This window comes from Homo sapiens, chromosome 9, assembly GCF_000001405.40.
Source record: "Homo sapiens chromosome 9, GRCh38.p14 Primary Assembly".
In the NCBI taxonomy this organism is placed as follows: domain Eukaryota; kingdom Metazoa; phylum Chordata; class Mammalia; order Primates; family Hominidae; genus Homo; species Homo sapiens.
In genome coordinates this window covers 128,600,315-128,617,557 of record NC_000009.12, presented here as the reverse complement: position 1 = coordinate 128,617,557, position 17,243 = coordinate 128,600,315, and the positions used below count along the sequence as shown (strand labels likewise).

At 46.3% G+C, this 17,243-nt stretch overlaps 1 protein-coding gene across 29 annotated transcripts in view; it reads right to left on the bottom strand.

The window, feature by feature from the left end:
• The window catches only part of SPTAN1 (spectrin alpha, non-erythrocytic 1), an 81,076-nt gene that overhangs the window by 16,105 nt on the left and 47,728 nt on the right, over positions 1 to 17,243 (bottom strand). For 17 of the 29 annotated variants that reach the window (NM_001375318.1, NM_001375312.2, NM_001375311.2 and 14 more), the window contains 14 exons: positions 13,968 to 14,015; positions 13,141 to 13,232; positions 12,380 to 12,524; positions 12,081 to 12,262; positions 9,855 to 9,954; positions 9,509 to 9,706; positions 9,282 to 9,428; positions 8,581 to 8,684; positions 8,274 to 8,436; positions 7,893 to 7,907; positions 5,713 to 5,844; positions 5,312 to 5,449; positions 4,073 to 4,177; positions 1,718 to 1,926 (listed from right to left, as the gene is read on the bottom strand). In NM_001375318.1, coding sequence (NP_001362247.1) covers positions 1,718 to 1,926; positions 4,073 to 4,177; positions 5,312 to 5,449; positions 5,713 to 5,844; positions 7,893 to 7,907; positions 8,274 to 8,436; positions 8,581 to 8,684; positions 9,282 to 9,428; positions 9,509 to 9,706; positions 9,855 to 9,954; positions 12,081 to 12,262; positions 12,380 to 12,524; positions 13,141 to 13,232; positions 13,968 to 14,015 — 1,778 coding nt within the window. The remainder of the gene's footprint in view (positions 1 to 1,717; positions 1,927 to 4,072; positions 4,178 to 5,311; positions 5,450 to 5,712; positions 5,845 to 7,892; positions 7,908 to 8,273; positions 8,437 to 8,580; positions 8,685 to 9,281; positions 9,429 to 9,508; positions 9,707 to 9,854; positions 9,955 to 12,080; positions 12,263 to 12,379; positions 12,525 to 13,140; positions 13,233 to 13,967; positions 14,016 to 17,243) is intronic. The other 12 variants (XM_047423784.1, XM_047423789.1, XM_047423791.1 and 9 more) reach the window with 1 other exon arrangement.

Sequence of the window (17,243 nt, the reverse complement as noted above, 5' to 3'; positions counted from 1 at the left end):
CACAGACATCTACTAATCTTTCTGGGAAAATCCTTGCCAGTTTTCTGAACAACAAAAGCCTCTACTTCCCAAATGAGTAGGGACCAAGAACCTCTGTCCATCTATGCATCTATGAGCCCTGCTGTGTGTCCGGATTCTGGAGGGTTGGGGATGCACTGGAGGATGGGAGGCATCACTAGTGCTGCCCTGAGGAGCCCTATCAAATTATATCAATATATATCAATCATGTATACTAAATATGTATTAATATATCAATATATGTCTGTAAATATACAAAGATATTTATATATATACATATATACACACTTTTTTTTTTTTTGAGACAGAGTCTCATTCTGTTGCCCAGGCTAAAGTGCAATGGCATGATCTCTGCTTACTGCAACCTCCGCCACTCCGGTTCAAGTGATCCTCCCACCTCAGCCTCCGGAGTAGCTGGGACCACAGGTGTGCGCCACTATGCCTGGCTAATTTTTTCTATTTTTGGTAGAGATGAGTTTTCACCATGTTGCCCAGGCTGGTCTCAAACTCTTGGATTCAAGTGATCTGCCCACCTCGGTCTCCCAAAGTGTTGGGATTATAGGCGTGAGCCACCACACCCAGCTATATAAGTAATATATATATTTTTTGAGACAAAGTCTTGCTCTGTCGCCTAGGATGGAGTGCAGTGGCACGATCTTGGCTCACTGAAATCTCCACTTCCCAGGTTCAAATCATTCTCCTGCCTCAGCCTCCTGAGTAGCTGGGATTACAGGCACGTGCCACCATGCCCAGCTAATTTTTATATTTTTATTTTTTATTTTTTTGAGACGGAGTCTTGCTCTGGAGTACAGTGGTGCGATCTTGGCTCATTGCAACCTCCGCCTCCCTGGTTCAAGCGATTATCCTGCCTCAGCCTCACAAGCAGCTGGGACCACAGGCGCCTGCTACCACACCTGGCTAATTTTTGTGTATTTAGTAGAGACGGGGTTTCACCATGTTGGCCAGGCTGGTCTCGAACTCCTGACCTCAAGTGATCTGCCCGCCTCAGCCTCCCAAAGTACTGTGATCACAGGCGTGAGCCACTGCGCCCGGCCACAAACGTCTTTTAAGAACAAAATCCTCTCTCTTAATTCCTTACTTCCTTAAAGCCTTCCGACCAGGCGCAGTGGCTCATGCCTGTGATCACAGCACTTTGGGAGGCCCAGGTGGGTGGATCACTTGAGGTCAGGTGAGGTCAGCTCGAGACTAGCCTGGCCAACATAGTGAAACCCTGTCTCTACTAAAAATACAAAAATTAGCCAGGCATGGTGGCATTCTAGCCTGGTGACAGAGCGAGACTCCATCTCAGAAAAAAAAATGTTTGTTTACCTGCCACATCAACTGGAATCAGTAGACTGACATTTTCGGGGACAGATAGAGAATAAGAAAAAAAGCAACTCCTTCCTTGGAGAAGTGATCTTCTCCAGAAGCTCAGAAACAAACTCACTAACTTTCACGGGAATCTAAAAGGCAGGGTCTAGACAGGGCCTATGTAGCCAGCATGGATCACCACCACCGCCAATTATCATCACTGTAAACCCGGAAAGCAGAAGACACTGAGGCATCCCACGACTGTGTGCCCAAGCTGGGATCCCAGTCCAGCAGGGTTTCCAGCCTCACCACTCAACAGTCAGCCTGTGGTTCCTGCTGCCCACTATTACAGGCGTAAGGGGCCTTCTAGAGGGCTGAGAAGACATACTTGATCCAGGACTCCTCGTCATCCATGTCCCGGAAGAACTGGTGCAGGCGATGGGATTCATTCAGCTTGGCTCGCCGGGAGGCCGCCATGCTCTTGATCTTCTGGAAGCGCCCGTTGATGGTGTCCCTCTTGTCCTTTACTTGGGAGGTGTCGAAGGCACTGCTGGTCATCAGGCTGTCTGCCTGGCTGTTCAGGTCCTTCAGGCGATCCTGGGGCAGGGGACATAAGAGGGTCAGAAACTGGGTCTCCCACAGCTATCTGCTTGAACATAAGAACTCAGGAATTCCTTACTGAGATGTGGAGTGTTGATATTCTCAAAGTCTGTTATGTGGACCTCTGGCATTCTATCAACTCACACTATTTTCATAACATTATAAGACATTATTATTTTTTACCGTGTGGACATTTGCACTGATAGTACAAAAGCAATGGAGGAGGGGACATGCTGGTGCTTTAGCTCAAATCAAGGCAGTGGCAAACTACTAGCAGAAGTGGATTCTTCACTGCCACCCACTCACAGTGAAAAAAAAATGCTGTTTCACTTAAAAATGTCCTTAAAAAGGCAGTGAAAGTTAATTTTACTGAGTAGCCATTCTTTTGTACTTGAAAGAACAACCACCGAACAAACTATGCTCATTCAGACTTGGTATCTCACAGATACTCGGTCCAGAATAAATAAAGTGAGCCTGTCACTTCAAAGAATACTGACAGTTTGTTACTAATGATAAAATTCAAACTTTTATGAGAAAGTTAGAATTTTAGAAAACTTACACCCACCACCAGGAGCCTGAAGGCTTCCTAATATGTGAAGATTTTTCTAATGAAATTGGTGGTGGTATTAACTGCAATGTTTTGATATCATATAATCACATGTGTCAACATATAGAACAGGCATAACTCAGTGAAGCAATATTTACCAAATGAGCCATGCATGATGTTGCAAAATCATGCACAGGTAAGAGCTACATTCAAAGCCCAAGATGGACCAGTGGGTTTTAATATAATCCAGTATAAAAAGTTTACTGACAAGGTTTCAGGGGCCACTTTGCAACTAACCCCCCAACAACTTTTTTTTCCTTGCTCTGTCATCCAAGAGTGCGGTGGTGTGATCATGACACACACACTGCAGCCTCAACCTCCTGCCTGGACTCAAGTGAACCTCCCGCCTCGGCCTCCAAGTAACTGGGACTATAGGTGCATACCCCAACGTTTGGCTAATTAATTTTTGTGTTTTTTTTTTGTTTTTTTTTTGAGACGTAGTCTCATTCTGTCGCCCAGGCTGGAATACAGTTACACAATCTCGGCTCACTGCAACCTCTGCCTCCCGGGCTCAAGCAATTCTCCTGCCTCAGCCTCCCAAGTAGCCGGGATTTATAGGCACATGCCACGCCCTGCTAATTTTTTGTATTTCAGTAGAAACGGGGTTTCACTGTGTTACCCAAGCTGGTCTCGAACTCCTGAGCTCAGGCGATCCACCCGCCTCGGCCTCCCAAAGTGCTACGATTACAGGCATGACTCACCATGCCCAGCCTAATTTTTGTATTTTTTTGTACAGACAGAGTCTCATCATGTTGCCCAGGCTGGTCTTGAACTCCTGGGCTCACATGATCTGCCTGCCTCGGCCTCCCAAAGTGCTGGGATTACAGGTGTGAGCCACTGTACCTGACCACAGCTAAGCTTTAAGAAACTATGACTTTGGTATAGTATCAAAGAAAATTATTCACACTTACCCGAATCAAAATATTCCTCCCTTTTCTACCTACCTACCTGTGTAAAACTGAATTTTCATCCAATGCAAAACACCACAACCTGAATTCAGCATTTTTTTTTTTTTTTGAGATGGAGTCTTGCTCTGTTGCCTAGGCTGGAGTGCCGTGGCGCGATCTTGGCTTACCGCAACCTCCGCCTCCTGGGCTCAAGTGATTCTCCTACCTCAGTCGCCTGAGTACCTGGGATTACAGGCAGCCACCACCACGCCCGGCTAATTTTTGTATTTTTAGTAGAGACGGAGGTCTCACCACGTTGGCCGGAGTGGTCTCGAACTCCTGACCTCAGGAGATCTGCCTGTCTGGGCCTCCCAAAGTGCTGGGATTACAGCCGTAAGCCACTGCACCTGGCCTTAAAATTTATGTAATTTTTAATAATGGTGAGCATTGATAAAACCTACATAATAAAAATCTCTCAAGAGCCCTCAATAACTGCCAAGTGTATAATGATCCTGAGGCCACAACCTTTGAGAATGGCTGCTTTAAGTGAAAGAAGTCACTCTCTTTTCTCAAACACGCTTGTTTTCCTTAGGAGTCAGGCAGAGCTGTGTCCCAGGCACTCGGGCCTGGCCCGCCTCCCTTTGCTTACCTCATGGGCAGATATATCTGCTTCCAGCAGTTGATGCTTTTTCAGCAGGTTGTTCACAGAAGCTAGGTCTTTGCCATAATCTTCGGATGCCAGCAGGGCCTCCACCTGGCAATGAAAACACAAAAAGCAAAGGCTACTGTGTGGTGTATACTCAGCATTCTGGAAAATTCAGGTTGCCCAGTGGCTATTCCAGGGCCTTGCTTGGACAGTTGAATACTTCTCCATCACAATGTGTTACTGTGATTCCTAGCCACCCCAATCAGCCTGCCCGGCCTGAGACACTCTCTCCACTCGGTCAGTCAAACCTAGACTCCAGAGTCTATTCATAGTAAATACTACAGCTAAGGCAAAATGCACAGCAATCCTAGTTCAAGGAAACCCCCCTAGGAAAGAATCAGCAGTGTGGACAAAGATTAATATTCAAAGATATTCACTACAGCAAAATATATACACCAAAAGGCTGGGAACACCTCAATGTCCAACAATATGGGAATGGTTACATTATGGCATGGCTCTATGATAAACTTACGCAATTATTAAAAAAAAAAATTTTTTTTTTTTGAGATGAAGTCTCGCTCTGTTGCCCAGGCTGGAGTGCAATGGTGTGATCCCAGCTCACTGCAACCTCCACCTCCCAGGTTCAAGCGATTCTCCTGCTCAGCCTCCTGAGTAGCTGGGATTACAGGAGCGTGCCACCACGCCTGGCTAATTTTTGTATTTTTAGTAGAGACAGGATTTCACTATGTTGGTCAGGCTGGTCTCGAACTCCTGACCTCAAGTGATCTGCCTGCCTCGGCCTCCCAAAGTGTTGGGATTACAGGCGTGAGCCACTGCACCTGGCCAAAACCTCTATGTTTTTATAGTCTGTGCTTTCCAAACATTCTCCATGGAGAATACATGACTGACTCTGGCTTCCCAGATGCTACTATCTTGGTTTCTAACCTGGCATAGGCTTGTTAGAGCTGCATGCCATATAACTACCCATAATCTCTTCCTATTTGCCTTCCCTATGGATGTGAGTGACCTGTAGTCCAAGTGCCACTACAAGTCAGCTCTCTTAACATTCACTCCCTTTGCTCATAAATCCCTTACAGCATGCAACTCATATATAATAAGGGTTTCTGTCAAAAGGGGTGTCTGGTGAGCCCTGCCTTTTCGTGGTTTTGGGCACTGATGGACCCACTGTGCCAAATGACTAGAAATCCCCCACTGGTAGGAAGAGGAACCACTCAGTGTTACCTCAGACAGCCAGAAGTCAAAGTCCTTGATCCCTGTGTTGAAGTTCTGCTGCTTGTTGGCTTCTTTCAGTTTCTGGCTCTTTTCCGCTGACTTTTGCACCAAGAACTGCCACTGGTCAGCTAAGGCAGCCAGGCGGGCCTGGGGAACAGAAGGGAGCCAAAAAGAGATGAAATCTATGAAGAATCGTCCCTCTCCTAAAGCTCAATTTGAGAACTTCTAAGAGAAGAGAATGGAAAACACTCATAGGAGCCATTCTCACTAGCATTCCCCATCTGTAATTCAGCCTAAAGTCTTCTATAATCCATTTAGTGTCTTAAGACTGTATGTCCAAGTTATTATATCAGGTTGACAGTGACGGTGGTCATCTTCCTCCCTGGGCACCGGGAGCTGGTGGGCCATACCTTGACAGCATCCTCACTGCCGGCACAGGCTCCACGTTCAATGAGGGAGTTGCCCATGTCGATAACCCCACGGATCCGGTCAGCGTTGGCATGCAGCTCTGCTTCAAAAGCCTGGTGCTTCTGGTGCTTGCTCTAAAAATACCAAAAAAATTTTTTCCAAACCAGTTCCTGCTAGGTTATGTCTTTTCAGGGGGAAGGGGTTCTCAGAGGCAGGGAGTGGCAGCAAACATAAAGAACTGGGGTAAATGCCAACGTTTTTAACAGAAGGCAATTGGAGTTTGTATGAAATATTTTAGGGTTCATCTCTTGGGGAGTTAGCAAAGGAGGAAGGAAATGTACTAGCTCAGGAGTAGATGAACTGGAAGTCCTTTTTTTTGAGACAGGGTCTTGCTCAGTTGCCCAGGCTGGAGTGCAGTGGCGTAATCTCAGCTCACTGCAGCCTCAACCTCTTCGGCTCAAGCAATCCTCCTACCTCAGCCTCCCGAATAGCTGGGACCATGGGTGCATGACATCACACCCAGCTAATTTTTCTATTTTTTGTAGAGATGGGGTTTCGCCATGTTGCCCAGGCTGGTCTTGAACTCCCGAGCTCAAGCAATCGAGCCACATTGGCCTCCCAAAGTTCTGGGATTACAAGCATGAGCCACCAAGCCTGGCCAAAAAATCAATTCTTGCAGTAGCTATGCTAGCTATTTGGGAGTGAAGCCCTAGAATTACACACTTCCTAACACTTTCCAGAAGATGGCAATGGCCAACTTCAGTTTTGAATCTGCTTGTACATCAATTTCCATCCATGGCTTTCTCCTTATTGGAGACAGGCTGTAATGAATGAGATACATATGGACATTTCATTATCTAAAGCAGAAATCACCATTAAGCAAAATTCATAACATAAATTGTAATAACCAGCAAAATAATATTTGATGGTCAGTCTTTTCCCTCTGTTGACAGAGGAGAAATCTACAGCTACTACAGACATTGGCTTTGTTGATTTATCTTTAGGTAGCTGTCATTAATCAAAACACTGGGATACTGTCAGAACCCAGGCTTGACTGCAGGAAGGAATTTATTTTACTGGGAAATGAAAGGGCTAGGAGAAGGATGGGCTCCTGATCCTGGGCGCCTGATATGGTTTTTATGAATCCATAAAGAAACAGAAGGTACTGAAATGCTACAAGAGACAATTGCAAGGACATAGCAGCTATGCCACAATTCTGGGAAAAACAATTGGCTGGGTAAGAAATGCAGGGTCTCAGGGGAGTGTTATTTGGGGGGCAAAAAAAAAACAACTAAAAGGCAGTAGTGTTGGGGAATTCTGCATCAAATGTTTCATTTCAGAGGCAGCAACTGTCAAAGGATGGAGCCATCTGGCTCAATTCAGCACTAACATGAAATGTCCTTGTTACGTTCTCCCACCGCCTGATCCCAAAGCCAAGAAGGAAAAGGGTCTCAAACACTCAGATATCCTGACAAAAGTCCCATTACCCTCTTCTTCTGTTCCTTGTTCTGATCACCCTTTGGTTCAAATCCCATTTACTCTCTTCTCTATCTTCATTTCTTCCACCCGCTTAAGTAACTTTGAGCTACATGTTGACTGAAGTCTCCTTTCACTACCTGTTGAGTGATGTCTGCTTTTATCTTAACTTCTCATTTGTGTTCCTTGAAGATTTGGAGGTATTAATAGACCATCCGTCTCTCTACAGTTCTCTAGCTGTTCCTCTCCTGACTGGCACCTCTGGATGCCAGAGTGGGTATGCATTAAAACCCTCACACCAGACTGGCCTCCCCAACCCAGGCCACCGAACACCATGAGCTCATAGCAAGTCTGAGCCAATGTCTACACAGAAAAAGCTGAAGCTGATGTTCCATCTTCAAAAGGAAGCACTCCTTGAAAGAAAATGGTCAATTACTGCCCCGCAAATCAAACACTGTACAGAATTTGCCTAAGTGATAAACTGGGGGAGAGAAGGGGGAGTAAGGCGTTGCAGGCTAATTACAACAGAAAAAGCCACATCCCACAGGGACACTTGAATGGAGTGTAATGGATGATTAGAAATGAAAAGGATGGATGAAGAGACACCAGCAAACCGTGTGACCACAATAATAACAATAATCTACGCAGAGTAACACAAATACTGGAGCTCATTTAACTACAACTCTTAAAAAAATTAAAAACTTACCAGCAGCTTGGAAAGCTACAAAAACAGATTAAAAGAACAAGAGTTCAGTACACTGATGTGGACACACATATCAGCTATTAAATAGAAACTCATTTTGTCATACTTCCCCCAGGAAGCTCAGCATTTGGGAACAGTAATAGAAGGGGGATTCTATAGACTTTTATTACAGCAGAAATAGTTTTAATGGAGACAAATGAGGAAGGCAACTTTTAAATGGCTCTGAAACTTGACTAGGGCTTTCCCACTGGCTGGGCTTACTGAAATATTTCTCACTGACTTCCCATGGGTGCAAGGAGATTGTTTTATAAATGCTTTATTTAACAAAATCTACTCAATAACATAAGGCTACATCAAGACCAACACCCAGTCACTTCAGCTTACCTGGATGTTGGTGGGATCCTTGTACGACTCATCACTCGCTGTTTGCAATTTTTCACTGATCCAAGCCTCAATCTCATCCACATCCCGGCTGAACTGTTGGAGGGTTTGAGATTCTCCTAGCTTTGACCTTTTCTCAATCATCTGGGCTTTCAGACGTCGCCACCTGAAAGAGTGAAACCATGAGATCCAACATGAGCATATCTTACCGTGGAGAAGGAAGTGGGGAGACAGAACAGGCCTGGGCCTTCGTATGAGGGGATGCATCCTCTCAGGGCTGGTGACTATGTCAGTGCCACAGGACACCCACCTGTCCAAGACCTCATTGCGCCGGCTAGAAATGTCTCCCTTGGCATAATGGCCGGCAGCGATGAGCTGGTCGGCAAAGGCCTGCAGAGCAGCAATCTTCTCTTCCTGTCAGAAAACAAAGGCATGAGATCAAGGTGGGCCTGTGGCTGGGCCCTGCCTGGACTGCCAGTCTTGAGAAAAGGATAGTTATTTTGGGTGACTGAGAACTAGCTGGTGGCAGGATCAGAATACACTGACACTTTAGAAGCAAGAGTGTAAAATGCCAAAAGAAAGCTTGATTTCATTCATTACTAGAGTAGAGTTTAACTCAAGAAGTCTCCAGGTCACTCAGGTGGGGCAGGTGTTAGAATATCAGAACAGAACAAAATTAAGCCTGATAATAGGAAAATGCTGTCAGATTTACAGCAAAGTGACGTATAAATCAAACAGTTTTACATCTTCCTTGTTGTTTGTTCATTATTCCCTTACCTACCCACACATTTGTTTTCCATCCCTTTGATAATATTTTTTTTTCCTGTGGCACCCCCATTATTAAAATCTCAGAAATACCAGAATCTATAAAGTTTTAAAGATTATTTATGTACATATTTTTCTTAGACAACGCAGGTATTCCTTGGAGATATAACAGTGACTATATAAGCCAAGAAACAGATGTCAATCAGGAAAAATCCAGACTCCAACTCCATGGTCCAGAGGCCTCACCTGGACGTTAATCGCTTTGTCAAAGTCTTCATGTTTTTTGATCAGAGCCTCTACGCTGTCCAGTGAGTCTCCTTTGTCTTCGGTATTCAAGAAGGCCTCCCGGGCAGCCATCCAGTTCTCAGCTTGCTCACAGTCCCGATGGAACAGCTAAAGAGGGCAAGAGGCAGGTGAGAAAATGAGGCCCTTCAGCAAGGAAACACTTGGTCAGAAACCAGGAGCACACACACCTGCAGTTCAAGGCACTGATCCAGCATCATCCTGCGCTGAACCCAGGCCTTCTCCAGGTCTGCACGCTCCTGGTCAAGAATATCAAGTTTCTGCTTGATCTCAGGGCTGGCATAGTGTCCGTGAGCCAACAGCTGCTGTCCAAACTGCTCAAATGCCTGGAAAGTGCCAGCCCTGGCATCGATTTCTGTCCGGTGTTCCTGCCAAAAGGAGGGAAGGGATTAGGTAACTGGCAGCAGATGCCCACTCTGACGTCAACCACCGACTCACCACAAAGGGTGGGAATGAGGCCTCTAGGGCCCTGCAGAGCAGCCACGTCTTTGCTACTCAGCAGGCAGGTCCACCCACCTGGTGTCGCTCCAGCAATGCCTCAGCTCCGGTGACATCCTTGGCTAGCTCATCTGAGGACACCAACCCCCGTATTCCATTGATCCAAGACATGAGGTCCCTGGAAACCAGCACCCCAGAAAAATAGCTATTATATTACCTGGTAAGGAGATCTTCTGCCCAGGAAAACAGAGAATGACATAATTCTTGCCTCAGAAAGTTATCTTGGGTTAATCTGATCTACTGAATGAGGCTAGGTCTTTGGGCAAAGTGTTAAAAAACTTCTTGTTATTTTTTTAAAAGTCCGAATTTCTCAGAGGAAAAGTCAGTAGGCTTATAATTAAGATCTTTTCACCCTCCAGAATAACAAGTTCTAGCTACAATTAAGTCTTTGATAGCTTCAAATGAAAAAGCTTTTGTTGGCCAGGCGTGGTGGCTCATGCCTGTAATCCCAGCACTTTGGGAGGCTGAGGCAGGAGGATCGCTTGAGCTCAGGAATTCAAGATCAGTTTGGGCAATGTGGTGCAACCCTGTCTCTAAAAAAAAAAGAAAAAAAAGAAAAAGCCTTTCTTTAGGATTAACCCTTGAAGCCCTAGGCCTGGGCATACATTTGATCCAGTTTCTCACAGCTGTACAACCACAAGGGCACAAAACTGAGTGTGTAAGGTCAGATATGGTATGATTCCTTTTATATGACATGTCCAGAAGAGGCAAATCCATAGACATAGAAAGCAGATAAAGGATTCCTAGTGGGTGGGGAAGAGAGAAGAGGGGGTGATTAGTTAAGGAATGTTATTCTAGGGCAATGAAAATGTTCCAAAACTAGAGAGGGGTGGCTGCACAACACCGTGAATACATTAAATGTCATTGGATTGCACATTTTAAAGTAGTTAATTGTATGTTACGTGGCTTTTACCTCAATAAAAAGAAGAAAAAGACAACCAGGCGCAGTGGCTCACGCCTGTAATCCCAGCACTTTGGGAGGCCGAGGTGGGTGGATCACCTGAGGTCAGGAGTTCGAGACCAGCCTGACCAACATGGAGAAACCCCGCCTCTACTAAAAAAAATACAAAATTAGCCGGGCTTGGTGGTGCATGCCTGTGATCCCAGCTACTTGGGAGGCTGAGGCAGGAGAATCGCTTGAACCCAGGAGGCGGAGGTTGCGGTGAGCTGAGATCGCACCACTGCACTCCAGCCTGGGCACAAAAGCGAAACGCTTCCCCCCCCAAAAAAAAAATATATATATATATATGTCTAGGGAAAAATATAATGTCATATGGCAAGGAGATGAGAGGGAGTATGCCCATACTTGGATAGGAAAGTAGAGACTTGTTTTTTTTTTTTTTTTTTGAGGCAGAGTCTTGCTCCATCGCCCAGGCTAGAGTACGGTGGTGCGATCTCGGCTCACTGCAACCTCCGCCTCCAGGTTCAAATGATTCTCCTGCCTCAGCCTCCCGAGTAGCTGGAATTACAGGTGTGTGCCAGTGTGCCACCACGCCCGGCTGGTTTGTATTTTTAGTAGAGATGGGGTTTCACCATATTGGCCAGGCTGGTCCTGAATTCCTGACCTCGTGATCCACCTGCTTTGACTTCCCAAAGTGCTGGGATTACAGGCGTGAGCCACCGTGCCCGGCTGCAGAGACTTATTTTTAACAATATGGCATTCAGTAGTTTGACTATTTTACATTGATTATGTACTACTTTTTTCTGTTTTTAATTTTTTTTTTTTTTTGAGATGGAGTTTCACTCTTGTTGCCCGGGCTGGAGTGCAGTGGCACGATCTTGGCTCACTGCAACCTCCGCCTCCCAGGTTCAAGCGATTCTCCTGCCTCAGCCTCCTGAGTAGCTGGGATTACAGATGCCTGCCACCACACCTGGCTAATTTTTGTACTTTTGGTAGAGACGGCATTTCGCCATGTTGGCCAGGCTGGTCTTGAACTCTTGACCTCAGGTGATCTGCCCGCCTTGGCCTACCAAAGTGCTGGGGTTATAGACGTGAGCCACTGTGCCTGGCCGTTTTTGATTTTTAAATTAAAATTTTATAATAGAAATAGGGTTTCGCCATGTAGCCCAGGCTGGTCTCCGGCTCCTGAGTTCAAGCAATTCGCTTGCCTTGGCCCCCCAAAGTGCTTGGATTATAGGTGTGAGCCATTGTACCCTGCTGAGCATGTACTATTTTCACAATAAAAATGACCCCTACAAAGAAGGCTCTATGTTCCAGAAGTCTGAGTGAACATGGCTCCGTACCGGAAATCGCTAAGGAAGCGCTGCAGGTCGTGGGAGTCACCCAACTTTGCCTTGCGCTGATCTGCACGTTTCCCCAGGCTGCTCCAGGCCTGGTTTAACTCTGTGCACTTTTCCTGCAGGTCTTCTGCTGACTCGGGATGGGACTGGATCAGGCGCTCTGCTGTTTCACCAAGGGAGTTTACCTATGGGAAGAAAGTGGTGAATGAGCTTGCAGTAAGGGGGTATGCTCTGCAGAACAGAAGACTCTGCTCTTTCTGGGGCAAAAATGCCAGACAGAAGATGACTTTGGGTCCTCTCACCTTGTCACCGAGAGCCGCAAGGTCCCTCTCGAAGCCCTCATGCTTGCGTTGCAGGGCCTGGACACTGGCGAGATCATGTCCATAATTGTCTGTGTTTAGAGCTTGATTCTTCTCTTCAATCCATTCTTTGGTTTCATCAGCATCTCTAAAGGCGAGACACATTCAGGTTAAGAAATGCCAAGTACAACTGCCTTGATTACAGGACACTAAAAAAAATTTATTTATTTATTTATTTATTTATTTACTGAGATGGAGTTTCATTCTTGTCACCCAGGCTGGAGCACAATGCACAATCTCAGCTCACTGCAACCTCCGCCCCCACCGGGTTCAAGTGATTCTCCTGCCTCAACCTCCCAAGTAGCTAGGATTACAGGCGCCCACCACCATGCCCAGCTAATTTTTTTATTTTTAGTAGAGGTGGGTTTCCCCATGTTGGCCAGGCTGGTCTTGAACTCCTGACCTCAGGTGATCTGCCTGCCTTGGCCTCCCAAAGTGCTGGGATTACAGGCATGAGCCACCACGCCCAGCCTAAAAAAATTTATTTAGCTGACATTTGTATATTTGTCTGTGGCTACCACCAATAACTCTAAAAAGCCAAATAATTCACTTAGCAGGATTTACTGAGCACCCACCCCATGTCACAAATAAACATCAGTAAGAGCCAGCAGTTGCTCTAGGATCTCAGTCAGCAAGCTTGGGGGCTGTCAGGAAACCAGCAGTCACCTGTTTCTCCCTCTCCCAGCCCAGGGCTGACCCCTCACCTGTGGAACCTCTGTACTTCATGGGCGCTGCCCAAGAGCTGGCTCCGTTCCTCGGCCAGCTGCTGTAGGGACCGCCAGCGCTCATTCAGCTCCTGCAGGACAGCAAAACATCAGCTCCACTGCACTCCCTCTCCTGTCATGCCCCCAGTCAGACTTTGGGAAAATGACTTTGTTTGAAGGAGATGCTAGGGCATATATAATTTCCTGTTTCCAACCTTCCTCGCTGAATAAATTAGTATACAATATTCCAGTAAGAGCCAAGCCAAAACTAGCTGTGCTTGACAGCTTCAACACCCACAAACACCTGACCTAGGCATCCTCTCTGAGGCAGCAGGAGAGACACAGCTGACTTTTCCTTACTCTCACCTCCTAGCCTGGGGCCTGGCAGGTAGCAACTGCTTCCTAAGTCACAGCTGCGTGGAGAAATCCCAGCGAGTCTGCTGCCTCCCAACACCCAATCAGCAGACTCTCAGGCCAGAGCAGGCCTGGGAAGAGCCGACACGCCACAGGACCTCGCACTGCAGGCGGCAAGGAAGCCGCTCACTGCATTACTGAGACTGTGCTCCTTCCAGCTCCCTGCCCTACTGGAAATCAGAGGGAAGGCTTGCTCCACTGTTGAGAACTGGCAGGCTCTTGACCAGGAAAGCCACCAAGCTACCCAGCGGCCATGAATGTGCTGATGTTTACTTAGGACATGCTTGGACCCAATAGAGTGAGATATGTCACAGGTCACCCGGTTGACAAGAACAAGAGCTCTGCTGTAGACAGGGAAGGAAGATAGTGGAGAAAACCAGGGGAGATCAGAGGAGCTGGTCACTGCTTCTTACCTTGATGGAATTAAAGGTGGCCACGGTGTGAACCATCAGACGAGCAGACTAGGTAGGGAGGAAAGCAGAAGGCAAAACTAATCAAGTGTCTGGCAATTAGAGATCTGAGCTGCAAGTGTCATTGATTAGGTCCCTGTGATTAACCCAAATTACCTTAAAGGGATACTGTCAACATTCTTAACAGAGACATCAGTACAAGTGTCAAGTACTAGAATGTCATGAAAATACCCAAAGTGCACAATTAGACTCAACTGAGTAATTAATTTTATCTGATGAAGAGTGAAAAAAGAATGGTAAAAACCACAATTCTAGCAGCTAGTTGGACAGAAAAATACCTAAAAGACTAATGATTAGTGTCATTTTCTTGTCTATACTACAGGAGAACATTCCGGAAAAAAAAAAACCCTAAATTTAACAAATGCTGGCAGCTGAGACTGTTTAACAGCCAGGAGCTCTAATAATCACTTTCATCTCCAATTATAGTTACTGGGTTGCTGTTCTTTTTAACCGTATCCCCGTTGAAGGGCAACGGCTTTACCAGAGGGAAAAAATAAAGCAGTGAATTAGCTTTCAACAACGTACATTTCAACAACGTACATTTCAACAACGTACATTTCAACAACGTAGCTACTTCTAAAAACCTAAAGTCCCTTAGGGCTAGGCATGCTGGCTCACGCCTGTAATCCCAGCACTTTGGGGGACCAAAGTGGGTGGATCACCTGAGGTCAGGAGTTTGAGACCAGCCTGACCAACATGGTGAAACCCCGTCTCCACTAAAAATACAAAAATTAGCTGGGCACGGTGGTGTGAGCCTGTAATCCTAGCTACTTGGGAGGCTGAGGCATGAGAATCGCTTGAACCTGGGAGGCAGAGGTTGCAGTGAGCTGAGATTGCGCCACTGCACTCCAGCCTGGGCAACGGAGCAAGACTCCGACTCGAAAATAAATAAATAAAATACAAATAAAAACAAATAAATAAAGTCCCTTAGGATCTTTCAGCCCACCCAATTCATTGGAAAGAAACTCTAATTGGCCTAGGTTATAATGCTCACAACCCTTTGAGTAAAGAACAAGAGGAAGGGCATGATGGCTCACGCCTGTAATCCCAGCACTTTGGGAGGCCAAGGCGGGTGGATCAGGTGAGGTTAGGAGATCAATACCAGCCTGGCCAACTTGGCGAAACCCCGTCTCTACTAAAAATATAAAAATTAGCCAGGCATGGTGGCGGGTGCCTGTAATCCTAGCTACACGGGAGGCTGAGGTGGGAGAATTGCTTGAACCCAGGAGGCAGAGGTTGCAGTGAGCTGAGATCACGTTACTGCACTCCAGCCTGGGCGAAAGAGCAAGACTCTGTCTCAAAAAAAAAAAAACAAAAAAAACCCAAAAAAAACAAAAAAAAAAACAGGAGGGCAGGAGGGCTGAGCTTGGATGCAGATGTCCTCATGGCATCCCTAGGTGACATTTTCAACCCGTGTGTTTATAGGAGTCAGAAGGTGGACCCACTGTCTCCAATAAGAGGTACTGGGATTTATAAAGGTACCTAAAATAAATTTCTGAAAGAATACTTATGTTATCAGAAACATTCTGTTGAGGGGGTAAGGCTGTTGCCCATTCATATCATCAATGACCAAGTTTTGCTACGTAAGAAAAGGGAAGAGTGAGAAAAGGAGAGAAAGTTGAATAGAAGGAAAGGTGTATACCCATGCCTGGCCCAGTTAGAAATCTACTTAATGAGGAGAATAGTCAGAGCCAGTGGGGGAAGGAGGCCACAAGACACAGACCCCTCTCAGCCTAGGTCCTCAGGAGAGGTCAGACAAGGTGACTGAGCGGGTTCAAAGGTGGACACGGAAAGGTTGTTGAGGGGAGGCTTTTTGTTTTTAGCTTTTCATGCTTTCTTCATATTTCTGGGGACACACTTTTAAAATTTCTTTTTACTTTTTGTTTTTTATTTGCTTGTCAAACTCACCACTGTACTAATGAGGAGAAGGCCTACTTTTTTTCTTCTTCTTTTTAAAACATTTTTATTTTTATTTGTAGAGCCGGGGTTTTGCCATGTTGCCCAGGCTGGTCTCCAGTTCCTGGGCTCATCCACCTGTGGCAGCCTCCCACAATGCTGGGATTACAGGTGTGAGCCACAACACCTAGCCAAAAGATCTACTTTTATAAAGTCAGAATCTGCTGTCTAACTTGCCTGTAACTCAAGTGATGTATTCCTGAAGAGCTGGGTCAGGAGGGAAGATGCTAGAACTGAGACACAGGCAACCAGTTACACAGGCAACCAGTTACACAATCACAGTTATAAATGTATCACATAAAAAACCTCAGCCGGGCCAGTAATCCCAACACTTTGGGAGGCCGAGGCAGGTGGATCACCCGAGGTCAGGAGTTTGAGACCAGCCTGGCTAACACAGGGAAACCCTATCTCTTCTGAACATACAAAAATTAGGAGGCATGGTGGTGCATGCCTGTAACCCCAGCTACTAGGGGAGCTGAGGAAGGAGGATCGCTTGAATCTGGGAAGCAGAGGTTGCAGTGAGCTGAGATCGTGCCACTGCACTCCAGCCTGGGCAACAGAGCGAGACTCCGTCTCAAAAAAAAAAAAAAAAAAAAAAAAAAAGACTTTCTCCCTGGCTGTGTGCTGTGACTCAGGCCTGTAATCCCAACACTTTGGAAGGCTGAGGCAGGCAGATCACCTGAGGTCAGGAGTTAAAGACCACCCTGGCCAACATGGCGAAACCCTGTCTCTACTAAAAATACAAAAATTTGCCAGGCATGGTGGCACATGCCTGTAGTCCCAGCTACTTGGGAGGCTGAGGCAGGAGAATTGCTCGAACTGGGGAGGCGGAGGTTGCAGTGAGCCGAGATTGTGCCACTGCACTCCAGCCTGGGTGACAGGGCAATACTCCATCTCAAAACAAAACAAAACAAAAAAACACACCTTCTCCCTGTATTCTTGGTCAGGGATGGCCCATTCTGGTTAAGCCATATTCACACCCAGATTTGTCCAGAAAAATGTCTACTGTAGTGGGGAAACATCTCATTCCTCCCTTTACATCTCTGTATTGGGCATCTCTGAAGCCTTTCTTAGGCCACAGGATAAAGAGGCCAGGCAGATGGTGAATGAAGGCCTGCCCTCCTTTACATGTGTAGTTGTTCTCGTGTTCACATCATTTCCCTTTGGACCGCCTCTTACTGGTGGGACCCTGCCAACAACAGTGCTCCCTGCTGCAGCATATCCTGCACCAACATGGGTAATCAATGCAACCTAACTGTACTG